The sequence below is a fragment of the Homo sapiens genome, chromosome 7 (assembly GCF_000001405.40).
Source record: "Homo sapiens chromosome 7, GRCh38.p14 Primary Assembly".
NCBI classification, from domain to species: Eukaryota; Metazoa; Chordata; class Mammalia; order Primates; family Hominidae; genus Homo; species Homo sapiens.
The window spans coordinates 117182681-117210234 of NC_000007.14; the positions used below are offsets into that span (position 1 = coordinate 117182681).

The 27554-nt window shown below is 40.2% G+C and overlaps 1 protein-coding gene and 1 long non-coding RNA gene across 18 annotated transcripts in view, besides 1 other annotated feature; both read left to right on the top strand.

Moving 5' to 3' along the window:
• ST7-OT3 (ST7 overlapping transcript 3) lies at positions 1 to 27257 on the top strand. The gene is made up of 9 exons (NR_002332.2): positions 1 to 65; positions 1445 to 1519; positions 6641 to 6713; positions 7453 to 7588; positions 8154 to 8256; positions 8955 to 9081; positions 15640 to 15860; positions 16392 to 16464; positions 27107 to 27257. It is a non-coding gene; the product is annotated as an ST7 overlapping transcript 3 (long non-coding RNA).
• Positions 1 to 27554, top strand: part of ST7 (suppression of tumorigenicity 7) — a 276676-nt gene that overhangs the window by 229180 nt on the left and 19942 nt on the right. For 12 of the 17 annotated variants that reach the window (NR_161422.1, NR_161423.1, NM_001369607.1 and 9 more), the window contains 3 exons: positions 6641 to 6713; positions 8154 to 8256; positions 27107 to 27257. Coding sequence is in view for 11 of the 17 variants with exons in the window: in NM_001369607.1 (NP_001356536.1) it covers positions 6641 to 6713; positions 8154 to 8256; positions 27107 to 27257 (327 nt within the window). In the remaining 6 variants the exon portion in view is untranslated. Of the gene's footprint in view, positions 1 to 6640; positions 6714 to 7452; positions 7589 to 8153; positions 8257 to 27106; positions 27258 to 27554 lie in introns of all 17 variants that reach the window. The other 5 variants (NR_161420.1, NR_161421.1, NR_161418.1 and 2 more) reach the window with 2 other exon arrangements.
• Positions 7338 to 7733: a silencer, noted in NCBI's record as "conserved region 11 (CR11) negative regulatory element (NRE) in the greater CFTR locus". NCBI's record gives its function as "modestly represses an SV40 promoter coupled to the HS2 beta-globin enhancer in the forward orientation in transfected K562 cells {active_cell/tissue: K562}" and the evidence as "EXISTENCE:reporter gene assay evidence [ECO:0000049][PMID:18436892]".

Below are 27554 nucleotides of genomic sequence, written 5' to 3' on the forward strand. Positions count from 1 at the left end.
TGGTATTCAGAGACGTAGAGTGGCACAGCTCCTCAGACTGCACGTTTTCCCTGAGCTCTCTACTGGTCAGTTTGGGGGATTTAGAGGATTGTTTTCATTTCTAATTCTCATATTTTGAAATCACATGTGGCCAGGTAATAAAAATAGATGAGAAGTTCTGAAGAATATGTCAGTTGAGGAACTGGAGGTATTTATCCTACAGAAGATTGCTATAGAAGAGATATGTTAACCATCTTAATTCTTGAAAGATTGACGAACAATAATCAGATTCTGTTTTCTTATGGAAGGTGTAAGTGATTTTTAGATAAGGATTTGTGGAGAGAATGGAGTGGGGCAGAATGATAAAAGGCAAGTAAAATGTTATGGAGGTCAGATTGGTAAGATAAGACATCTTCAGGTGACCACAAGATTTTAGGTTTTTTTGTTTGTTTGTTTGTTTGTTTGTTTGTTTTAATTTTTTATTGGCTAGGTGCGGTGGCTCATGCCTGTAATCCCAGCATTTTGGGAGGCCAAGGTGGGCAGAACAGTTGAGGACATGAGTTCGAGACTACCTTGGCCAACGTGGTGAAACCCTGTCTCTACTAAAAATACAAAAATTATCCAGGCGTGGTGGTGTGCACCTATAGTCCCAGCTACTTGGGAGGCTGAGGCACAAGAATTGCTTGAACCCGGGAGGTGGAGGTTGTAGTGAGGGAGATTGTGCTACTGCACTCCAGCCTGGGTGATAGAGCAAAACTCTGTCTAAAAAAAAAAAAATTATATATATATAATTGAGGCATCAATTACATATAGTTACAGGTACAACTCTTAAGTGCAGAGGGATGATTTTTCACTTATGTATATACCCATGTGACTGCTACCCAGAATGAAACAGAACTTCCTGAAATCTTAGAAGGTTGCCTCATACTCCCTTCTAGCCAATAACTGCCCTCCAGCCCAGCAGTAACCACTTTCCTTACCTTGAACACAATATATTAGTTTTGCAAACTTCATGCAACCACTTTGGAACACTGTCTAACAGTTTCCAATAAAGTTAAACAGACATCTATCTTCAGATCCAGCAATCCCATTTTTAGTTACATATCCCTGAGAAATGAGTTTTCTTACGCTTACACAAAAATGATCACAGCAGCTTTCTTCATAATAGTCCAAAGTGGGAAAACAATTCAAATGTCCTTTATCAAGAGGATAGATAAACATGTGGTGTATCCACACAATGAAATACTACTCAGCAATGAAAAAGAATGAATGACTGACACGTGCTACAACATGGATGAATCTCAAAAACAATGTGCTGAGTGAAAGGAACCAGACAAAAATGAGTACAAAAATGAGTCTGATTCCATTTGTGTGAAGTTCAGGATTATAACTTTTAATGAAAGGCTTTCATGACAATTTGATTTTGCATGCCTAAGATGTTTGGGGAAATTTCTTCTCCTTTCAGGAAAACATTTCTATAAAACATAAGATGGCAAAGAGGTGGAAGAAAAATTAATGCCAGCAGTTCAGCTTTGACTAAGTGAGAAACATTTACTTAGCGTTCCTTGTTTCTGCAGTGAGTAATGGAATTATGTGATATCTCATTATTTCCTTTCCTTTTGTTTGCTCTTTGGATTCTAACTCGTAAGAGGTAATAATGTAGCTAGCTAAATGCCACTTACAAAAGTCAGAAGGGCACTGCAGAGTCAGTGTGTTCATACAAAATCAAACTAACTTAGAATGATTTTGAGTTGCTTCCTCAAAATAAAATTTCTGAATAAATTACAGGCAATATTGGAAAGCGGATGATTTGTTCTTATTGCCACCATTTCAATCACTACTGGTAGCTACTCTATTCATCTTATCATTTTATCCATTTCCGTAGTGATAAAAGCATGAAGTCATAGCAGGCAGACAGAACTGTACAGAACAGATTAGTGATCACCAGGGGACATGTTTGAGGAAGGACAGGGAGGGTACAAATATAAAGGGGTAGCACCAGGGAGTTCCTCTGTGGTAATGGAACAGATCTATATCTTGGTGTGTTTACATGAATCTAGTTATGGGATGAAATTGGATAGACATGCACACTTGATTTTATGTAAAAAATGGTGAAAATGAACAAGGTCTGTAGTGTACCTAATAGTACTCTAGCAATGTCAATTTCTTGTTTTTTGATATTATACTACAGTTATATAAAATATCACCGTTGGGAGAAGCTGAGTGAAACATTTACAAGACTGTGTGCTATTTTTATAAATTTCTGGAAACCTCTAATTATGTCGAAATATTAAGTTTAAAAATTATAATAGGCAAAAATAACCAAGCCTCACCCTTTTTTGTGGGGTGAGGTGGGAATGAAAGAGGAGGTGCTCATGGAGCAGGCAGCCTAAATACTTTCTCCTAGAGGATAGTATTTATGGTTCTTCTTAATGGTGAGCCAAAACATCAGTTCCTGCCTGTGGTTTAGATGTTACGCAGTTATTAGATTAAAATATGGCTAATAAGATAACTATACTATAGCAGGCATACTGTAAATAGAACACACTAATTTTCACAAGAGTATGTGAAAGTTACATCTGATAGATCTCCAGACTGACAGCACCTCATATGATAAATTCTACTTTTGTCTGTGCTGTCGGTATCTGGCTCCACCAATGTATTTGCCCATGAACTTGCTTCAGGCAATTTGTAGAACAGAATTCTTCCCTCTAGCATCATTATCTGCTAAAAAAACAGTTACTGCATGTACATGACAGGAAACTTTGGAAATACAGATAAACAGTAGGAAAAATTGCCTATAATCTCGCCATGCAGAAATAAACACTGCTGATGGAGTAGTCCCCTCTTATCCTTAGGGCATATGTTCCAAAACCTCCAGTGGATGCCTGAAACCATGGAGAATACTGAACCCTGTATACACAATATTTTTTCATATACATATGTATTTATGATAAAGTTTAATTTATAAATTAGGCACAGTAGGCCGGGTGCAGTGGCTCGCGCCTGTAATCCCAGCTCTTTGGGAGGCCAAAGTGGGTGGATCACGAGGTTGGAGTTCAAGACCAGCCTGACCAACATGGTGAAACCCTGTCTCTACTAAAAATACAAAAATTAGCTGGGCATGGTGGCGCATGCCTGTAATCCCAGCTACTTAGGAGGCTGAGGCAGGAGAATCGCTTGAACCCAAGAGGCGGAGGTTGCAGTTAGCTGAGATCGTGCCATTGCACTCTAGCCTGGGCGACAGAGCGAGACTCTGTCTCAAAAAATAAATAAAATAAAAATAATAAATAAATAAATTAGGCACAGTAAGAGATTAACAATAACTAATAGAACAGTTATAACAATATGTCATAAAGTTATGTGAATGTGGCCACTCCTTCTTGTCATTCTACTTACTACACACTGTGGCCATAACTTTTGCAGTTTTGAGGTGCAACAGTGAAACTAACAAATTGCTTTTCCTTCTTCACAATATCACATGATTCATTCTTGCTGTAGATCTTAGCAGCCTCGGTGTATGATTTTTTTCTTTTTTTATTAAGTTGAGAAGTTTCACCTTTTCATTTAATGGAAGCACCTTACATCTTCTCTTTGGCATATCCAAATTGCCAGCATCACTACTCTTGCACTTTGTGGCCATTATGCAATAAAATAAGGGTTACTTGAACACAAGCACAGTGATAACTATGACAGCACCGTGATAACTATGATAACGCATATGGCCACAAAGTAACTGATGGGCGGGTAGAATCTACAGTGCGGATATGCTGGACGAAGGGATGATTCACATCCCGGGTTGGATGGAGCAGGGCAGTAACAAGATCTCATCACACTACTCAGAATGGCATGCTGTTTAAAACTTATAAATTATTCATTTCTGGAATTTTCCTTTTAATATCTTCAGACTGCAGTTGACTGTGGACAACTGAAACCACAGAAAGTGAAACTACTGATAAGGGGAGTCTACAATATTTGGTGCATATTATTCCAATCTTTGTGCATAGAAATGCTTTTAAAAATGAATATTAAAGCATACTTTTTATAAACTTATTGATATGTGCACAATACATTTCCCCCAGATCATTCAGTACCTTTCCACCGCATAATTTAATGACTGCATGGAATTGTACCCTGTGAATGAACTTACAGCATGTTAGCCAGTCTATGATTGGACATTGGGCCATTTCCAATTTTCCATTAGAAACAATGTTGTGATGAACAATCTTTGTGCACATTGATGATTATTTCCTAGGATAAAGTCTTAGAAGTGGAATTGCTGGGTAGTCAAAATGTAAAAGCTTTCCATTTATATTGCCTAAGTGCTCTGCAGAAAAATATGCATCATTTTCAAAAATGAAAATTGTAAACCAAAACCTATTTGAACAACAAGATGCTCTATGTGAAGGGAAATTTAGGATCCGTTTCTTTAGAGTGATTCATCCCTCCTTAGAGGCAAATTGCTATTACCAAGTAGATGTAATGTTTTTACAGATAAAAGAATAACATTGAAAATATCTAAATAAACCAGCCATGCAAGAATATTTTGCTATTTTCTATTTCTGTTAATCAGTGAGAACAAAATAACTTACTAGCATAAAAAGATAAGTAGAATGACATGCCACTAATGGGGAATGGGGTATTTTCATAGAGCTACATTTCCCTCTTTGATATTGATTAAAATATATTTTGGTTATTTTTTTTAAGCATTTTTCTTGTGCACATATACTACTTAATAAAGGAGAAGGAGCAAACATTTTAAAAATGGAGAAAAGGTACTGTAGTCGTCATAATGTTGCTGAATGCTGTTGCATTTTTCTAGCTGTGAATGTCCTGTCTATGCTAGTGGGAACGGAGGTCAGGATTCTAGATTAAAGATTACCTTTGATTAGGCATCTCTAGTCATTTGCTGGAACACCTCGAATGTATCTTTTTCTGTATTTCTATCTGGGTGAAAGTGTCCATTTGATTGATTAGATAACCATCAAACACAACTTGATCTTTCTTGTTGGGCAGCTAAGTCATTAAAAAGAGGCTCCTTCTTGTGCTGCCACCTTCAAATAGTTATGATCATTGTTTTCGGAAACAAGGCTTGGGTAATTTTAAAATAAAAAGTCTGAACTTTTAAGTAGGCCATGTGTCATCTAGTTTTTTTTATTAGCTTCAAATAACAATCAATGAGTATACCCTAGAAAACAACATATTTCGTTCCTGTATTGATTCCCCACACTGGAAAGCTGTTAAATGTTTAGATGCTGGAAAAGCAACAAGACTAATCCATGAGTGTCTGGCATTTTTTTCTTCTTAATTGTAAGTGCACCATTTTATATAGTATGTATGTGGTGGTGACATTTTGCTTGAATATAGTTTAAGAGATTACGGGTACAAAGACCTGTTTTCCTTTCAATTCTGTGCTGATATTTTCTATGATTGTGTTTTATCAATGTCATTGAAATTTCCCTCAAAGAGAAATTCCTTAGGAATCTCCTTGGAATTGGCATTAAATACTCTTTATTGAAAGAGAGATTGGTTTTCTTTATGAAATTGTTTTCTTCTGCCTCTGTCTATTGGCTAATTATGGGACTTCTATTTTTCATTTCTACTTTACTGTAATCCTTTCTAAGTTGAAAACAGCCTTGCAAAGAAACTCGCAGGGCATTCCAGGGGCAAAGAGTTCCTCTAACCTAGAATGAATTTTGCAGCATCTGGGAATGGCATATTTTTACCTGTTCTGAATTAAGGTATTTCTGTGTCATAGTGTAAATTTGGTTGCAAGTATTAAATACTAACTCCTATTCTGGAAAGAATGCAATCATAATTTAAGAACACATTTTTCACCCAAAGGGGTGCCCTCTTTGAGTTTATCTACTCTCACTTGTACCCTGTGCTTTCACTTTCCTGTAAACTCATTATCTGAACCCCACACCCACCCTGGCCCTTCTGAAATTTTTGTAAAATTGAAAGGAACTGTTTTTCCTGATGACAAGTGAGGCTTCATATGAAAGGAGATTTATGATAGGTTTTCATGAGCAAAAATTGTGTAGTTTTCTAAAGATTTCATACATATACCCTTTAAAAGTTATATATGTTTATTTATATATTAGACATATATATAACTTGGACTTTTACATTTTTAACAAGCACTATTAAAAATTGAATGTAAACTTGAAATTTAATGCAAAGGAAATTTAGTTTAAATCTGTCCACTAAAGAATCATTCATTTGGCTAAGTCTTCTTTTAATCTAGATTTTTTTCTTCAATTAGCATTTCATATACCTGTTGAGAAATTTTTGTAAGTGACAAAGACACTTTCATGTCTTTCACATCAAGGATATTCATGTGATATCTAAATGTATATATTTATAGCTATACTCTGCTTAAACTCAACATATGAAAATTCATATTTTAAAATAGAAGGTGATTGCTTAAGAGTCAGCCTGTTGGACATGAATTATTCACAAAAATACAAACTACCCTTAGTTTCACATACCACGTTGATACAGTAAGGAATAGCTGAAATTCTTGTGTAATGTCTGTATTAAAATATTCTTCATTTATGCTTTATTGCACTTAAACGTGATTAAAATGCTAGTGTATTGAAAATGATTGCTCTTTGTTACCTGCAAACTTATGTGTTCCTACTTTCTTTTTCTCCAACAGATATAAGCTTACCAAAGTCAGCAACAATATGCTACACAGCTGCTTTGCTCAAAGCAAGAGCTGTCTCTGACAAGTAAGTGAATAATAGTTTGCGCGGTACTAATGCCTGACCGGAATTGAGATGTGTTGCCTCTGAGGGCTTTCTCTGGAAGTTTCTCTTAGGCTATGAGACCCCTGCTTATAAGCATGCATTTTCCAAAACCTGCTGTTCTTTTCTTTCACTATTGGAAGGAGGGAATGTATATCCTCAGGTAATGTAAGGGTGTGTAAAGGTATCCTAAAGCAGGATTTATTTGAAATTCCATGCTTCTGAGATGAGTTTTTTGGTGTGAGACAGTAGATACCAAAACACCTGCTTGGGACTTAACACAGAATACCATCCTTCTATTTGTTTTTTGCACATTCCTCTCCCTTCAGCGGTCCATAACTGGGTAGTGTCATACACACGTGGAATGTGGCAGACAGGATGGTCATCTCTCATTCTTTGCCTCATCAACTTCAAATTAGCCCCCCACTGGTCTATTAACTTTGAGTTGCCATCTCAATGGTACGTTTGCCTATTTTGTTCAGGCAGGTGACTATGACATATAGACTTTTCATAAGCATCCAAGGATGCCTGTCAGATGAAAGAGCATAGATGGCTTAACTGCTTTTGAGTTCATAAACTCTTACGCTTCCCCAATATAATCCCTCTGTAGCATCGAAAGCAGAGAACAGGAAACCAGCCTCTGCTGTATCAGACAGGTTTGCTGTTAAGTGTGTGTACACTTCAAGACCAAAGTAATTTTCTTTCATTCTTTTTTATCCTGTAGATCGCCAGTACCTACTGCAACATCTTTTCTCCCTACACAGCGACTCCAGCTTGGGAGGGCAGGGCCAGGGTTGTCACAGCTTCCCCTGTGGTGTCTGCCTGCCAAGCACAGCTCTGGAGTTAGCCCTGGGTGTGAGGTGAGAAAGAGATTGCATGGTCTGGTTTTTTTCATTCACTTGGGCAGGTGTCTTGCCCGCAGTTTGGGCATGCACACACCCTCTGCCGGAATGGCCCCAAGCAGGCTCGCCTGCTGCTGAAGCTGCAACGATTTAACCTCCATCGCAGCACTGACATTGGGTGGGAGGCCTCCTTTCAAATCCTTCCCAGTTCTGTTTTTAACCAAGTGCGCTCTTCTGTAACCTAGTTTTCTCTTTTTCCTACACTGTCTGCCCTTGTCAGTCCTACCTCTTCCCCTGACCTGAGCAGGTACCTCGTAGAAGATTTAGATTAGCCATTTAGACAGAGACTTGACAGCCGAATTTAACTCCTGCCATGACTAGATGCAAGCACGCTTTCTGCTTCTGCTGGGGTTTTTGCTGGCCTCGGTCCGTGGGGTCACTCAGAGGTTCCATGCAGTAGAAGTTTGGAGAGCTCATGCTATTGGCTCACTGTGGTTTTATGGGCCCTAGATGTGTAGATGCTTCCGGGTTGATGCCCAAGCAGTGGTCCCACCTGGATGGTTTTTGTCTTTCTGCTTTTCAGATTCTCTCCTGAGGCTGCATCTCGGCGGGGGCTGAGCACAGCAGAGATGAATGCAGTAGAGGCCATTCATAGAGCTGTGGAATTCAATCCTCATGTGCCAAAAGTGAGTCTGTGGAATCCCCACAGGAACTCGTTATGATAGCAGAGAAAGCATTCATTGACCACAGTGTTGTATCTCAAGTACACCGCTTATAAAAAAATGAATTGCAACCAACAAATGTTGAGACCCTGTATAATGTATGGGCATTAGCCTCATTTTAAGCAAAAGCTATACTCAAGAGGCTTTGGGGCAGATTTCCAGACTTCACTTAATAAGGGTAAATCGATAGACCTCGCTTAGGCAGGCCAGGAAGCCTGAAATTGGCAAAAAGTAGATATCCCGGGAGTGTTGACACATTTGACAGGAATTTCACACCAGTTATGGTCTCACATAGACCAAACTCAGGAAATAAATGTTGTTGTGAATAAAACTGGTAAAAAAAAAATACTAATGTGGCATTCCGTGTCTCTATAAATGAATGATAGTAATCAGTATTGGCAAGAAAATAATAGAGAAAACTTCAAAATATGAAGAAGTATTTTGCTTTGTACCATTTTAATAAGTGTATATAGTAGAAAATATTTGTCTTAGTTATTAACCACATGGTTGACCAATTTATAAATACCCAATATTTCCAATTTTTTTTCCTGAAATTGATTTTAAGGGAATCAAATCAGAGCAGGGAATATTTCTGTAATCTTTTATTCAGGAGATGAATGTGTATTTATTATTTACCTATATTTAACTCCCTGCTCTTTTAGTATCTACATGCTGTATTACGTAATTATCATCTTCTCTGAGGGAGGAAAAAAAGTAGCTGAGAGCCACTTTCAGTCCCGCTATTAAGTACATTTTGGCCTCTAAGAAACTTCGTGTGGTTCACCTCAGGTATGACAAGCCATAACTTCCTTGGCAAAATGTCTGATGAAGACTTAGTGGTGAAAAATGACAAAGGAAGGCTGTTTGACTTGTGTTGTAGCACTATAGCAAAAGGGTGGGGGGGTATGAGTGAGAGAGAGAGAGATGGTTTATGGAGTTAACTACTTTATTTTGTTGATATTCAGAGTGACAGAGATAAGTGATCTAATATTCCTGGGATTTTACTCAAGTCTAGGTCATTTTTTTCACTTAGCAGGAAATTGAAGAGTGGTTCACTATGCCACATTTGCATAAGGATGTATATATTCCTTAGGCCTAATGGGTAATGACCAACATAGTATTTGCAGATTTATGTATTGTCCATATGGTGCTATAACTATATCTCCTTATATAATATTTTTCACCTAAGATAAAAATGTTTATTCCACTTTGACTAAAATTTAAAACTAATCATGAAAAAATTATCCTGAATTACAGTAAACTGAGGTCATCTATGAATACTTATTGAATGCCATTCTCTACAGAGCTATTCAGTAAGCATAAATAAGGCTCTTTTAGAAGTAGTATTGAGCAATAAGTTCTGGATTCTGAGGCGAAAACTTGTGTTCCACTTGTGATTCTGTCATTTATCAGCCATTGGACATTGGGCTTAGCATCTCTAAGCTCAAAGTTGTCCCTCATTTTTAAATGAAGTTAGGATATAAGCCCTGCCTATCTTCTGTGGTAAAGATCAAGTGAGATTATATATTTGAAGTTCTTTGAAAACATTTGAGCACCATTTATTTGTAAATTATTAAGATTTTTGATGATTTTAATATCAACATTTTTTGATAATTATTAAGAATTTTGATAATGGTTGGGGGCTCCTCATATCTAGGAACCAGATCTTTTACCGTGATCCTAACTAGAGCCTTGCAATCCTGGGGCACAAGACAGAAAATCAGTACAGTACTTGTTGGTTAGATATTTTGATTGAAGTAGTCATTTAATGCTAAAACACTGGTCTGAAATGGTTAATTGAGCCTCTAGAAGAATATTAAAAGCCCTAAGAAACACTTTAAGGCTGCCATGGAAGAATTTGACACAGTTAACTAGGATTCCACCTGCAAAATAGAATTATCCTAAAAGTGGAAACATTTCAAATATTTGATTGCACTCTACTTTCTAATCATGAAACTGAGAGAAGGCAGGGTAAACTACCTGGGTAAACTGACTCTCCAGCACTTTGCTTCATTGGTGATTGTGCTGAGGGGGAGATGTGTTTCCAGATCCTCTTCGTCTATCAGAATTTCCGTGGGGAACGGGTCCTGGGATTCACTGGCCCTATCTGTCAAGAATTAGCCACAGATTTCTAATATACAGTATGCAGTGTGCTCTAAATATCTAACTTTAGCAGATACACACACACACACACACACACACACACACACGGTGCCTTGGAGGCAGTGAATAATAGTCTTAGTTCTAATGAGACATCGGTGAAGGTTACAAACTCTTGGACTCTTAGCATAAGATGATCCTTAAAGATCATCTAGGTCACCTTCCCATCCTAACCTTGACTCTCTCCTTATAATGATACTGTGATAACCATTTTTATTATTGGTTTCTTTTGAATGTTAATGTGCCAAGCACAGTGCTAGCTGAAGTATATAAGCCCTCTCACTTATTTTTCATAACAACTCTGTGAGGTGTATTATATTATTATCCCTATTACATAGATGAGGGCACTGACGGTTTGGAGAGGTTAAATAATCTGCTCATGGTCATACAGCAAATAAATGACAGAGCCAGAACCAATTCTGGGTTATCTACTCTTAAATGTTGCCCTCTACTGCCTACCACACCCCACCAGGAAACAGACCAGCCTAGGCTTGGACTCTTCAAATGCTGGCAGGCACACTGCTTCCTAAGACATTCAATCCCTTAAGGACAATTCAGGTTTCTTCAGGATATCTTAAATGATGTGACTTCCATGGCTTCTTTTTCTCTATCACAGGAATTTGTCAGTGGCCCACCACAGGAATTTTTAGTATCTACATGCTGTATTGCATAATTGTCATCTTCTCTGAGGGAGAAAAAAATACCAAATATAATAACTGAGAACTGACTTCCTTGCATTTCCAGCTTCGCTTCATCTGGTATCCCATTAAGCAAAGATAGATAGGTAGTATTTCACCATCCAATGATAAATACTAGTCATTTACCTTCGGAGGGCTACTCTTAGGAACTCTCTTCACTTGCAGACATAAGGAGTAGGGAGGAAGTGTTGCTCCTTACTACATCACAGGACTGGGAAATAAATAAGAACAGTAAAAACCCCTTGTCTCTGTTCTGAAGCAGAGCCACTTAAGTGGTCAGATGGATGCGAAACACTAGAATTTCTGAAGTATTAGATTGCAGCAAACTAGTAAAGAGGAAGCAAACACATAGGCTCATCATTACCAACAGAATTGTCACTCCCTCCTGAGAAACTGTAGCTGTGCCGCCAGCTCCCATAGGAAAAGGCATAAACTCCTTGTGAGATTCTTCAGTACCCTTCATAATCTGACCCAACTTGTTTTTCATTTTTTCCACTTCATAACTATTTGTTCATCATTCCAGAAACATTCTCTTTCCTTTCCCTCTTCACTTTCTCTAAGAAAACCCTGTTGCCCCTTCACCACCCCCATTAAGAGTCATTAGGAAGCTTGTTCTTCTTCATCAGAAGTAGTCTGTCTCCTCCGTGGTGTCTCACTATAATGCTTGTACTTGCTATTTACCTTTTCTTGAGGAAAATTGGGGATGTTAATGATGCTGGTGATTTTCAACAACTGAGAACAAAAGAAGACAAAGAAATCTTGAATCCATTAGAGGATGTTTTCCATTTAATGGGATTAAAATAGCTTTGCATGTAAAGAAAATTCCATTCATGTAATGCTGGACAAACAAAGGACTACCCTCACCACGGTTCTATACCTTCATCTTTGTATTGTTACAGTTTATTGGATTTGGGGCCTTCTTTCTGCAGATATGCTGCATGCTCACTCTGCTCTTCCTCAGCAGTCTTGAGATTTACACTGGGGTGGGCATGGGGGAGACATTTCTATCAGTGACCCATCAACTACACAGACCTGGGTTAACCAGCGCTTATGTGCTCTTAGTATGCTGCAGCCACACTGCAAGCCTTTCACTGCGAGGAGACACATTTTTGTTTTGGAGGATGTTACATTAACTCCTTCAGGGTACCAAAGATAAACTTCCATTTTCTGACAAGTTTCCAAAAGGTGGACTAAATTATTTGTTTGTTACAGGCAGTATTAAATATGTCTTTTGCTCTATAGTGATATTATAAAAAACAATCTACTCATATTTAAGACTATTTCTAGCCTTTTTTCCTACATATTTTAAATACTTTTACTATTTAAAAAAAAATTAGCATAGGGCTCTTAACATGGACTTTATGGTTGGGTATTGGGGGTATATTTGTTTCTGAGGGGGGATTATCAGATTTTCAGAGTTCTTTAACCTTAAAAAGGTTATCCTCCAACTTACAGTTCAAGTATTTTATCCGTGTGCCTTCAGACTCTTTTAAGGCAGTTTCTATAACTGGATACTTCTGTTTTGGATACTTCTTTTTTATGGGTGTAAGGTAAAAAATATGTAATATGAGATCTACCCTCTTAACAAATTTTTAGGTGTACAGTACAATCTTGTTAACTGTATTAGTCCATTCTCATGCTGCAAATAAAGACATACTCAAGACTAAGTGATTTATAGAGGAAAGAGGTTTAATTGACTCACAGTTCAGCATGGCTAGGGAGGCCTCAGGAAACTTACATTCATAGCGGAAGGGGAAGTAAACACGTCCTTTTTCACATGACAGCAGGAAGCAGAAGAATGAGCAAAAGGAGAAAAAGCCCCTTATAAAACCATCAGATCTTGTGAAAACTCACTCACTATCATGAGAACAGCATGCAGATAACCGCTCCCATGATTCAGTTACCTCCCACCAGGTCTCTCCCACTATACATGGGGATTATGGGAAGTATAATTCAAGAAGAGATTTGGGTGGGAACACAGCCAAACCATATCATTAACTATATGCACATCACTGTACAGTAATCTCCAGAACTTTTTCATCTTGCATGACTGAAACTCTATTCTTATTGAACAGCAACTCCTCATTTTCCCCTCCCCACAGCCCCTGGCAAGTACCATTATACTCTCTGCTTCTGTGAATTTGACTACTTTAGATACCTCATATCAGTGGAATCATGTATTGTTTGTCTTTCCGTGACTGGCTTATTTTAGTTAGCATAATGTCCTCAAGGTTCATCTGTGTTCTAGCCACCATATGACAAAATTTTCTTCTTTTTAAAGACCGAAAATTATTCCACTGAATATATATGCCACATTGTCTTTATCCACTCATCTGTCCATGGACATTTAGGTTATTTCCATCTCTTGGCTATTGTGAATAATGCTGCAATGAAAATAGCAGTGCAAATATTCTCCTCAAGATCCTGCTTTCACTTCTTTTGAATGAATACCCAGAAGGGGGAATGACTGGATCATATAGTGGTGATTCTATTTTTGATTTTTTGAGAAACTTCCAAACTGTTTTCCTTAGTGGCTGCACCATTGTACATTCCCACCAACAGTGCACAAGGGTTCCAGTTTTTCCACAAACTTGCCAACCCTTGTTATTTTGTTGAGAGTGGCCATCCTAACACGTCAGGTAAAATTTTTTTGCGGTTTTGATTTGCATTTCTCTGCTTGTTAGTGATGTTGAGCATCTTTTCATATACCAGTTGGTCATTCATATATCTTCTTGGAGAAATGTCTATTTGAGTCTTTTGCCAAGTTTTAAATCAGATAATCAGATTGTTGGGCTTTTTTTTTTTTTTTTTTTTTTTTTTTGCTATTGAGTTGTAGGAGTTGCTTATATGTTTTCAATATTAACCCCTTATTAGATATATGATTTGCAGATATTTTCTCTATTCCACAGGTTACCTTTTCGCTCTGTTGATTGTTTTCTTTGCTACACAGAAGCATTTCAGTTTGACGTAGTCCCACTTGTGTATTTTTGCTTTTGTTGCTTGTGCTTTTGGTGTCATATCTAAGAAATCATTGCTAAAACTAATGTCATGAAGTTTTTCGCTCCTTTACTTTCTTCTAGGAGTTTTGTAGTTTATATTTAAATTTTTAATGCATTTTGAGTTGATTTTTGTGTATGGTGTAAGATAAGAGTTCAATTTCATTCTGTTACATTTTGTTGAAGAGAATTATCTACTTCTTCCCTCTTTCCCACCCGCTGACCCAAGGCAGGGTTGTACTCTGTCACCCAGGCTGGAGTGCAATGACACAATCATAGCTCATTGTAATCTCAAACTCAAGGGCTCAAGGGATCCTCCAGCCTCAGCCTCTAGAGTAGCTGGGACTATAGGTATGCGCCCCTACACTCAGCCAGCTTTTAAAAATTTTTAATAGAGACGAAGTCTCTGTTGCCCAAGTTGTGCCTCAAGCAGTCCTTCTACCTTGTCCTCCCAAAGTGCTGGGATTATGGGTGTGAGGGACTGTGCACACAGCGTAATCTACTTCTTGAGTCCTCCATGGTAGATATCAAATTGACATGACGGGTCAACTTCTATAATGAACCTCTTTGGGCAAGAAGATTTTTTAGTCAGGATTATTTCCTTAGGGTAGATTTAAAGAATGGGAATTACTAAGTCATGTGTAGAAGCACTTAAGGCTCTTGATATTGCGGAACTACTTGCCAAAAAAGATTATAGCAGTTTAAATCAGCAGACAACTCCTTCTTCACTATTTTATCATATCCTCACTGTCATTGAGCAGTTTGTTTAAAAAAGAAAGAAGGGGAGCAATAAATATTTATGAACCTATTAAGTACAAATGGAATTTTGTTCTTTTAGTCTGCATTTCTTTGCCACTACTAGTTTGGTAGAACATTGTTAGCCATTTGTATTTATTCCTTTCTGAATTGTGAGGCAAAACATTATAACAACAGAGCAAGGAATAATGACCTAAAGGTAAGGAGAGCTATGAAGTATCATTGAAAGGGTTCATCACGCCTGTAATTCCAGCATTTTGGGAGGCTGAGGCAGGAAGATCGCTTGAGTCTAGGAGTTTGAGACCAGCCTGGCAACGTAGTGAGACCTAATCTCCACAAACAAACAAAAAAATTAGCTGGGTGTGGTGGCATACTCTACTTGGGAGGCTGAGCCAGAAGGTCAAGACTGCAGTGAGCCATGATTGTGCTGCTGCACCACAGCCTGGGTGACAGAAAGAGACTTTGTCTCTAAAAAAGAGAAAAGCTCAAAAGTGTTCAGAACAATGACTCCCGTTACTTCCTGTCCACAGGACTGGAATAAAGTATGGGAGGAGGGAGTTAATTAGTTTCCTGCCCATTCTTGTTTTGATAAAATGAGGATAAAAGTAATGGCTTCACAGGACTGATGACAGGTAAATGAAATTACATCGTGTAATTCATTCAGTACCTGCTCAGTACATGTTGGCCCCTTCGTTATCTCTTCCTTTTTACCTCCCGTTCTATTTCTGTGCTTGCAGGCTAGGTGGAAATAGAGGCTGCCTAGAAACATGCATTAACAGGTGCTTCTTGGGCCACCCTAGCCTGAAGAAGGACAACCAGAGAGTATAACAGTGGCACCTCAATGCCTTGGCCTTGAGGACCCTCAGTGTCCCTTCAGGCCTCCAGATTTGAGGGGAGGCTCTAGCATGTTCTGGCTGCAGCTATTGTCTTCAGGGATTCTGCAGCTTGTAGCTGCTTGGTAAGTTCTTTGCTTGTGGCTGATTGTTACCCATTTCCGACCTGTGTCTTATATTCTTGTTCTGAGCCTGGTACCATCCTTGCTCCATGCCAACCCACTCCCATCAGGTCTTCTACCCCAACACAACACTTCACGTCTGGTATGAAACTTGCCCATACGCAGGCCCCTTCCTCTCCCTGTTGCACCTGCCTCCTCAGGTGGAACAGGCCTGAAAGCCTGTCCTAGGCATGCATGAGGTTGCCTCATAAAACATCACTGTGTCTTCTACTTTGATTATAGAGCCAGGTGTCCCCACTATTATGGAGGCTGAGGCCACCCCTGTCTTTCTGTTATATAACTCATATTTCCCTGTCTGAGTAATCAAGATTGTAGGGCTACATTAACAGTCCCTAATACACACATACATACTCCAAACCCATCATCATTGACTCCCCCAGCGAAATGTTTCCAGATTCTATTAAGTTTTCGCTCTTTCCAAAGCTTTTCCTCTTCAGCCTATAAAAAGCAAGCAGCTATTTGCTTCATTCCCAGGGGTACTTCTACCAATTGGAGCTGGGCTGTTGGAGTCATCTCCACTGCCTACCACCAGGACAAGCAGAGAAGTGTGAGTGGAAGAGAGAGAGGTGGCAGGGAAATCTCCCTTTGTGTGAGCTGTGTGGTCAGGGGTCCCAGGTGCCCACAGTCATAGAGGAGGTAGGGGCCCACTTGAAAATCACCAGATGCTTTTTTCAGACCAGGCCTGAGTGGTTTTTTGTCTCCCAGCCTGGGTTGCTTATATCTCCTTCCTCCCTGCCCCTGCACCCTCTGTCTTGGTGCCTATTCTCATTATCAGAGTTGGTAAGGCTCTCATGCCCTCAGAAGAGGAATTCGTCCATTTTCTCCCTCAGCTGGAAGCCACACACCTTGCTAGGTCTCCTGTCAACCACAACATATTTGAACTACTTTTACTTAAGCAGGATCACTCTGCCCTAATAGAATAACCAGGAGGCATCCCTGCAACTTTACTTCATTCTGGAGGGGCTAACCTTCCTGCTGCTGTCCATCAGCTTCTCTAGTCTCCAAAGGTGTACAATTCTGAAGCAGAGTCCTCTTTTCCCTCCCAGCAGCGCATTCAGCTAGCACTTATTGAGCACTAATTATGTGCCAGCCACTGGGACGCTGGTCAGAACATGATGCGTGCTCTCAAGAAGTGCCCAGTCATTGAGAAGACAGACCGGGCCGTGCCCCTATGAGGCAGGCAGAGTTCTGCTGGGCCCACTGGAACGAGGCAACCAGCTCACAGTCAGAGTTGGGGCAGATAGCCCAGGTGCTCTGTTAACTCCTGGAAGCCAGATCCCGTGCTTTGCTGTTACAAACATTCTCCAAGTGTGCAGTGGTAGGGGAGTGGCCTGGCTGTATACAGAATGCCCAAACCTTCCACTCAACTCTGAAAACCTTGAACATTGTGGTCCCCAGAATTGAGCCTTGGCTGATAGGAAATCCTGACCTGGTCATTATCACCAAGGAGGGCTTCCCAAGTCACGGGGTCTTCACTACCACACACAGGCCTCCACTGGCCAGCTTGTGCTTAAACCATCTAGTATTTACTTGTACAAAAACAAATAATTTTTAACTTTTTTAAAGCAATAAACATTTTTCCTCTCCTAATTCAGTCTTACATGAAACCTTAAAGTAGATGTAGGCCTGCTCTGGTTGAAACTGGAATGAGAAGTCTGGTAGCCCAGCAACCCCAAGGCCCCCTCTGCATACAGTTCAGAAAATAACAGATGGGTGTGACCCATCACCACCAGAAAATCCCAAGTTTTTGAGGTCCCACCCATAGAGGAGGAGGCCTCCACCCTGCTCTGAGCAGCAGGGAGGGGGCTGCAGAGCCAGTACCCGTTCCTTAGCATGTCCACGTGCTGTAGACAGAGCTGCTGAGGGGGAAAAAAATAAAGAAAAATTGCCAGCACCAATGGGGGATAGCTTTCATCTTAATCTTGCCCCAAATCCCAGAACCAGTAAACCATCTGCTGTCCTCACTGTGCCCGCCCAAGAGGTAGTGGAGGGCACAACAGGCAGTCCCAGAGGGTACCGAGGGGAGGAGGGTGCCACACTCCCAGCACTCATTTCAGCAGCGGGGCAGACTGGGCTTGACACAATATGGAGGTGAGGACCTAGCCCAGTACGTATTTAGCTTTCAAATTATAAGTCTGGGAGTGCGGGAAGTCAAGAGAAAATAGAGAGGAAAGAATGAAGAGTGTTATGACAGAAATGCATTCCCATTAAAAATGTACTCTTTTTTTTTTTTTTTTAAAAAAAAAAGAAAGCTCATCTAATGTTAATCTAGAAACTCTAATTTCATGGGGATTTCAAGAGGCTTGTGGAAGAAAACATCGTGGTAATTGTATATGCTAATGGAGTACCTACAGGACATTGTTATAGTGATGGAAATTCTATTTCATGCAAACACTAAAGCAGTCCTCCCTTTATATCTTGGTAAAGCTGATTGACAGAGTATAAAATTGCTTTTTAATCCAATTTAGGAAACAAAATGTGTAGTGGGTTTTAGCATTTTAAAATGCTTGAAGCGTGGAAGCAGAAATTCAAAATACCCTGGCAGACTGTCTATGATATTATATATCAACAGGACATTTTAGAAATATTATTTCGATATAAGTTTCTTTGAATTGAGTCATATTTTGTTCCAAAGCTTTTTTGGATTAGAGTAAGGAGAATGTATTGTGGAAATATGACCCAGAGGAAAATGAACAGAAACCAGTTTTTAGCCACATTTCTCAGGAATAGGAAGTTTAAGTCTCTTTCTTTAACAAAAAGCACTGCAGCTGCTTTCCCCAAGACTACTCCCATACAGGCCACCCCCACCAGGCTCATTACCTCTACTGAGGTCACTCTTATTAAGGCCGCTGCCACCTAGGCCACCAGATCTGTTGGCCTCTTCTCAAACCTCATCCTATTTCATCTCTCCTCAGCATTTGGTCCCACTGACCAACTGCTTTTTATGTTTTTTTTGTGTGTGGTTTTTTTTTTTTCCATGAGACAGGGTCTTGCTCTGTCACCCAGGCTGGAATGCAGTGGTGCTATCATGGCTCACTGCAGCCTCGACCTCCCAAGCTCAAGCAATCCTCCCACCTCAGCCTCCACCTTAGTTTTGCCATGTTGCCCAGGCTGGTCTTGAACTCCTGGGCTGAAGAGATTTGCCTGCCTTGGCCTCCCAAAGTGCTGGGATTACAGGTGTGAGCCACTGCCCCCAGCCAGCCTGCTTCTTATGTCTTGAGGCCATCTCGACTCCATGACACCTTCTCTCTGTGCCACTCCTGTATGTCAGCACTCTCCTCCTACTCCTTTCCTGCGCTGCCACGCGTTCATGTTTTCCAGGGAGCTCTATTCACTGCCCTCTCCCTCCTTGCTCGAAGCTATCTTTTTTTTTTTTTTTTTGAGACGGAGTCTCGCTCTGACGCCCAGGCTGGAGTGCAGTGGCGGGATCTTGGCTCACTGCAAGCTCCGCCTCCCGGGTTCACGCCATTCTCCTGCCTCAGCCTCCCAAGTAGCTGGGACTACAGGCGCCCGCCACTAAGCCCGGCTAATTTTTTTTGTATTTTTAGTAGAGACGGGGTTTCACCGTTTTAGCCGGGATGGTCTCGATCTCCTGACCTCGTGATCCGCCCGCCTCGGCCTCCCAAAGTGCTGGGATTACAGGCGTGAGCCACCGCGCCCGGCCTCGAAGCTATCTTGAGAGATCTCGGGTGCTCCTACTGCGCAGCTTCCATCTCTGGCCCAGAACACCCACATTTGTGTCTCCAGATTCTCTCCTAAGCTCCAGACCTGAAGACCCAGCTGCCTTCAGGCCATTTCTCCAGGGATGTTCTGCAGGTTCTTTAAGCTGTTTTTGTTACCTTCCCCTGCTAAGCCTCTTCCTCCTTTGGTGTCTTTACCCTAGCTAAGGAGCTCACATTATTCTAGTTTCTTATGCCAAAAATTTGTCACCTTCGGTTCTTTCCCTCACTCTCACATTTAGTCAGGTGCCAAGTCCTGGAGAAGCTCCTCCTCCACCCCGCAATTTTGTCCCCATCACCTGGACTCTAACAGGAGCTTTTTAAGACTTTGCTAATTTCCATCTGTTCCCTGTCTGTTGATCCTACACATGACTCACCCATTTCTCTCAAAATTGCAAACTGCACAACTCACTTCCCAATTGCCTATGGCAGTGATTTCCAAACTGTCCTCCTAGGAGAGCCAGGAGGGTTCCCCGGACCTCTCTTGGGTCCCTCCCTCAGATTTCCCCACAGCTTTGTTTTTCATCAGCTTCACAGATTCTAAGTGTTTTTTTCCCCCCCTCAGTATCTGCAGGGGATTGGTTCCAGGACCCCTCACATATACCAAAATCTGCACATACTCAAGTCCCCCAGTGGGCCCTGCAGAACCGAACAGAACCTGTGTTATGCAAAAAATCAGCTCTCTGTATATGCAGGTTTCCCATCCCATGAATATTATATTTTCAATCCGTGTTTAGTTGAAAAAAATTTTGTATAAAAGTAAGCCTGTGCAGTTCAAACCCAGGTTGCTCAAGAGCCAACTGTAGTCTGTGTCTAAAAGTCTGAAAACCAGTTACTGAAGGTCAGGGCACCCTCTGGAGCAGGTCATGAAGGCCTTTTACAGCCTACTTTTTCTACTTCACTCCTTTGGAGAGTAGCCTGAGTTCAAATGCAGGTTTTGCCACTTCCAACTGTGTAACCCTGAACAAGTTAGTTCCTAAAGCCTTCATTTTCCCATCTGTGAAACAGGAATAGAAATATTAGCTCTATCACAGAGTTAGTGTTAAGGAGTTACTGAGATAATGCTTGGCATGTGTGTTAGTGTGTAATCAGTGTTGGCAGTTACCATCATGTTAGTACTCAGGCCCCACCAGTTTAGAAACACATCATGCCCTTGAATGCCTTGGTTTGCTTTTGGTAGGCTTTGATGCTTTTGGTATACTTTGCCCGTTAATGCTGGTTTGGAATCCCCCCTCCTCATTTTTTCAGTATAAACTCTTATTTAATTAGTAAAATTGATGTTTTCATTTTTCTGTGAAGCTTCTCAGACACAATGCTCTCCATTTGCTTCCTTAGTGCTAAGTTTATACATCTTACTAAGGTACTTACCATGTTGAATTTTATTCTTTCTCCATACATTCTCTTTTTCTCTCCTCTCTCTCTCCCTCCTCTACTCCTACAAAGACTATGGATCATCAAGGTGGGGACCTGGCCTGATTCATATCCATGCCCCTGAGGTAAATTATGGTGCTTCCATATCTGTGTCCTTGGAATACACAAAGGATCCTTCCATATCCATGTCCTTGGATAGGCTGTGGGTGCTCCCATATCTGTACACTTGAGATACACTGTGGGCCTTCGCATATTTTTTGAATGAAGCAAAGTAACCGATGAACAGAGAAGTGAACCAGGAAGAAGCAGGTGCCTTGTGATGAGGACCCCTGAGTGGTACTGAAATCACCAGGTTTAATTTGACAATTCAGCTTTGCTTTATGCTTGCCTCCATATCGGTCGGTTAATGACCCTCGTTAGCCCAGGTCTCTTCAACTGATCTGCTACTACAATAAAAGTGCTGAAGTATTTTACCTAAAAACAAACTCAGTTATCTGTGGGACATGTATATGTGGAAAACACAAATTACCTCTACAGTAATATGAACATTTAATTTTTTTGGTAGCAAAAATATCTACTATTCAATGCACGCTTATATGCCAGGTACTATGTGAATGAATGCTTTACATATATTACATAATCTTCAAAAATTAAAACCAGCAAGGTGTGTTTTTACTATTCCAGTTTTACAGAGGAGCAAACTGAGGTTCAAAGAAATTAAATAACATGTCCAGGGTCTCGTAGCTAAACAGTAGAGCCAGGATTCCAGTAAGTGATTCAAAGTGGCAGATGGTAGATGAGAGGAGGTAAGGCAAGGAATCCTGGTGATGTCTACCTCATTCTCCATCACCGCATGATCTGAGTGAGCCATGGCTACTTGCAGTGTTTTTTTTGTCCTGTGCCTGCTTTGTGTCTTACTGATTCCAGGGAGTAAGCAACATTGAAACTCAGACTATGTGGTGTCTCTCCCAAATAGCACTAGCTTTATTCTCAGAACTCCTTATTGATGTTTTAAAAACATCTTTTCTGGTCTTAGGCCATTTTATCAGAGCCAGTTGCACCAAAGCATTGTAGGCATGAAAAAAATTTGCTATCTCCAGTTATCTTTTGTTTGTATGTTTGTGTGTGTGTGTGGTTGTGTCTGTTTTTGATGCAAGTCTAGAAAATAGATTTGTATTACATATATACTTACATACATATAGAGAGAGAGAAAAATAAAAATGCTTATTACAAGCCAGGCATGGTGGCATATGCCTTATAGTCCCAGTAACTTGGGAGGCTGAGGCAGGAGGATCGCTTGAGCCCAGGAGTTCAAGGCTGCAGTGAGCTATGGTTGCACCACTGCACTCCAGCCTGGACAACAGAGTGAGACCCCATCCCTTAAAAAATGCTTATTATAGAAAACTTGGAAAGCACAGAAGGAGTACAAAAGAAGTTAATCTCCCATTAAAATCAAATATTTAACCACCATGAACATTCAACCTGTGATTGTCCAATGGTTTTTAATGCCTACCTATACCTTTTTTTGTCAAAATAATTAATAATCTGCTATGTAAATTGTTAGGGTACATTGATTTTTTTCCATTTAGCAATGTATGATGAACATTTCCCTGTGCTAATACATATTATTTCACTACCTGGTTTTGGGAGCAACTTAATAGTCATCATTGACTGTGATATAAATTAATGTACCTGTTTTTTTTCACATTTTGTTTATTTATACTTTTGCTAATGATTTTCATATGACTTATGCTATTGTTGATATTGAAAATCCCGAAAAAATAGTTGTATGAGTTAATTCTTTGGTATTAACATTTATGTGAATGATAACTATGGGATCATTTTCATTCAAATTATGATAGAATTTTAAGATCTTAGCAAAAAGCACTTTAGCAGCCACCCAAGGTAGCCTCTAATAGGCCACATCTCTTCAGCAGTTTCCCTGACAGGTGAGCCAGTCTCCACTCAGAGACCTCCATGAGTAGGCGCTGCTCACACCTAAAGACCACAGCTCTCTGCTTCTCTTCATATGCCCTGACTTTGGATGCTCCTGCAGTGGAGGCTGACACAAATAGATTTTGAAAAGTTGCTTCCAAAATTTTTAGAAGCACTGCATTTCAAGATCAGTGTGATTTTATCTGGGAAGGAAGTTAGAGGCAGGATGGCGGGCAAAATAGCACAGAACCAAGCCATTATTATAGATGGACAAAGCGTGTTCTTTGATTTGTGAGCTACAGTTATTCTAATTGATTTCTGCATACTTGTGGATAGGGATCTGCCCTGTTCCATTTATTTTTCTCTTGACAAGTAAGATGTGAAATGTTGTTCCATGCTTTTCTAATTTAAATGTTGCACATGTTGAGAACTGATCTTGCCAGCCATTTTAAGCCTGGCCAAAAACATAACACATTGTTGTTATTAGCCTTCATCATTTGGTTAGGGCCAACATTTTGTTTGGAATTATAAAGGAGTGTAAATCTCTTTTATAGTCATAGCCGATTTCTGCCATAAGATAGATAAGATGAGAAGGCAGAGTTGTTTCCTTGATGTATTGCTTTGGTTAGCCTCATAAGGCTGATTAGGCCAGGGATGTTCACTTTGAGAGACTTCTTGGGAAGTAAGATTTCAATGTAATTCAACTTAAAAAAATATTACCTTGATGTGCAAGGCTCTGTAGGAGGTGTGGGGAGGGGAAATTAAGGTGCAGATGGCAAAGTTCATGCTCTTGGGGGTCTTATGATTTAGCAGAGGAACAAGATACACAATAACTAATATAAGGTGGCGTGTGATTAGTACACATACACAAAGATTGGAGAGAACTTAGAGGAGAAACAGCATTACCTCATGGCCTATGTTTGGGGCTGCGGATGATGTCCTTGAGGCCATATGTATCCCATTGATCCTGCAGGCTGAGTAAGCCATCCGTCTCACACACATATGTACTACTGTTTTCCAAATGTATTATATGTAGATGCTCTGGTGGCCAACAATGCTTTTAGATTAATTTTTGTTGTATTACATTTATGGTAGCTTTTTGTCATATTGTATATTTTCAGTCAGTAGCTACTACCCTGATGATTCCTGTCATGAACACCTTTGAAATTTTTTCATGTTAAAAATTGGTCCAGTTATCCAAAGATGAAAAACCATTGTCCACAACAGTCAATGCTGTCCAAAAGACTTTTCCGTGATCATGGAAATATTCCCTGCATTGTCCAATACAGTAGTTATTAGCCACATGCAGCACCTGAGCACTTGAAATATGGCTAGTGAGATGGAGGAAATGAATTTTTAATTTTGTTTGGTTTTAACTAATTAAAATATAAATAACCACATGCAGTAGAAACTGTCGTATTGAAAACGGATGGCACATATCTATAATGTCCCTTTGTCAGGAATTTTCTGAACTCTTCCCCTCCCCTGCCAGGTTGACTTGCCCTGCCTCCTGCTAGTTTCTTTTCATTTTTTTTTTTTTTAGGCGGAGTCTTGCTGTGTTGCCCAGGCTGGAGTGCAGTGGCGCTATCTTGGCTCACTGCAACCTCTGCCTCCCAAGTTCAAACAATTCTCTGCCTTAGCCTCCTGAACAGCTGGGATTGTAGGCACCCACCACCACGCCCAGCTAATTTTTGTATTTTTAGTAGAGACAGAGTTTTACCACCTTGGCCAGGCTGGTCTTGAACTCCTGACCTCGTGATCCACCCGCCACGACCTCCCAAAGTGCTGAGATTACAGCCGTGAGCCACCGCGCCCAGCCCTGCTAGTTTATTTTCTACCCACAAATGTGGGTGACTACCAGGCCCACTTCTTCTCAGGTGCCCCTATTCCTGAAGGTTCTTTAGGCTAAGAGAAGAGTTCTTTCATAGATGCTTAATGAAATGTGAAAGCCTTTTCTAATCATAGAAATGAAAAGAATGGTAGTTTACACTTTTCTTTTATCCACCATCTGATTGTCAGGGGCTTTAAGAAGATTTCTGTATACCTGGGACACATGAGTTAGTTGTTTTCATATTTTATGTTTCAAATTTTATAAACATGATCCTTCTTTAAAAATTGACTATTTGATAAATGTGGTGGCTATGAATAATTAGAAAGTCAGATCAAAATCTTATTCCAGGGCTCTCATTAGGCCAGAAATTTCCCTTCTCCTTTGTTTTTTTGATGATGATTGTTATGGATAACCAAATGCTCTTCCTTATCCAACTTACTCTGGAACAATTAATACAGTTCATAACACTTTACAAGTTATTTATTTTTTTTCATGACTCGTAGCCTCGGGGTCCTTTAAGACTATCACTGGCAGTAGCAATGTACATTTTAATGGTTCCTATTAAGGTAACAAAATCACAAGAGGATAGCCAGGTAACTCCGAACATAAAATCCACCATAATATAAATATAATTATTTATATTATGGCTGATATTCATTATAAACATAGTGCAAATTGGATTGCTGTGTAATTCTCTATTCTTATTTTTCCGAAAAGATTTTTGTCTTGCACTGTTTTAAAACAAGACATTAGGAGGAAAGCAGTAGTTCATAGAATCCAAAAAGGCAGATGGCCAGAAAGCTCTTCTAGAACTCATGTTTGAGGAGTTCCACCAAAATAACAAACACCTCTCATGGACCAGCCTGGAAATGGGTCCCAGGTCTTTCTGTGGAGTATGGCTTTCTATCCTACCTCCTCCCAAGTGTGACGACCGTTATCAGTGTCCTCCTGCTGCTCTCTGGGTGTCTCACTTCCCTACTCTTCCTGCTTTGAGGCCAGAAGCTTGGAGGTTTCTTCAAATATCAGACCCAGAGGGAGGAAGGTTTCAGTTGCTGAGCCAAGATGCCTGCATGTGTTCTCCTGGCTCCTGCTGGGCCATACACCTCGACACCAACCGTGCCAATGGGAGAGGAAGCTTAAGGGCAACTGAGGGATGCCCAAAGGGTACAAATCCTCAACTAGATGACAGGGAAACATTGATAGTTGTGCCATAGTCTCCATTCTGTATACCAGGACTCTTCTACCTTTCACTGTCTTTCATAAACTTCCACGGACAGAAAAATACATAGGCAATTATTTCTGATGCTAAAATTTTTGAACACCTTTTTAAGCGCTTGATCTTGCTGTCCATATCCCTCTGTAGTCTACTAGTCTCCATTTTACAGGAGATTGCATGGGCTGTTGTTATGTTTGTCTTTGGTGGTGGTGGTGGGGTGGGTGTATGTGTGGGTGTGTGTGTGTGTGTGTGTGTGTGTGTGTGTGTGTGTGTGTCAGGGATGGATCCAGGAGGGGAGAATGCCAGCCAGAAAAGAAAGGTTAACATTTGCAATTATAAAATAACCTTCAAAAATTGCTCCCTATCTATCCTATAGTAAAACAAAAGAATAAAAATGGAAACGTAGTCTTTTCTCAGCCCCCGGGAAGTATATCCATTCTTGCCCTGTACTCCTACCCACTTTGTAGAAGATAGCAATGAAGAGGTGTACGCTGAGACCCCCATCCCCTACCCCAACTCCCTAGTCTTCGGGAAAGGATCGAAGAGTGTCACAGTTTGGGGTCTATAATGCTCCCCTCCCTTGGGTCTTCCCATGCTCTGGCTGCCACCCTTCCTCCCTGTAGCACCTGAGCAGCTGTGGGTGGCTCTTTTCATAGGACAAGATTTTTCTCCTTGATACATGTGTATAGAAAAAAATAATGGACAGTGCTACTCAATCTCAAATCTTTCTAATGCACTTGGTTTAGCCACATAACTTCTTAACCTTCATGTGTCTGTTTTATAAGGTTTCATTCTGCTTCCAAAATTATACCAAATTATTGTGTCTTCTACATTTTCCTTTATGCTGTTTGAGTCTTATGTATTTCTTTGATTAGAGTGTCTTAGCCTGAAAGCCTCTGATCTTCACTGTAGGAAACTAGTACAAGGCTAATCATCTGTCAGCAAACTTTGTATTGCTGGATGTTTTAGTAATTGCCTTCAAATGTAGTAATGAGGTTGCAGGTTTAATGAAATGCTTATAAGTGGTGGCTTTAGGGAAATCAACTGCTCTATTTTCAATACTGAATTCTAAATTACTTAGGTATTAACACAAGTGTGTCCTGCTTTTTTATTTCAGTACCTACTAGAAATGAAAAGCTTAATCCTACCCCCAGAACATATCCTGAAGAGAGGAGACAGTGAAGCAATAGCATATGCATTCTTTCATCTTGCACACTGGAAGAGAGTGGAAGGGGCTTTGAATCTTTTGCATTGTACGTGGGAAGGCAGTAAGTAATTTTCTTTTTTTGAAACATTTTTAAGAGCATGAAAAGGTGCTAAAATGTTTTTGCACTGTTTATGATGAATAATGAAGATTTACATATGTACTGCTCTTGTGTTCTGTGATGGCCCATCTAAGCCAGTTAGTGACTTAGGTTCTCCCATCCCCCGGTGGTGGTGGGTATTCCTGTGGTGAGGCTGTTTCCACAGCTCAGAAAGGTAAGTTTATATTATAGATGGGGTGAACCCAGATGTTCTTCAAAGGGGCACCTTGTCACCCTGAAAACCCTGTTTGGAAACTTGGA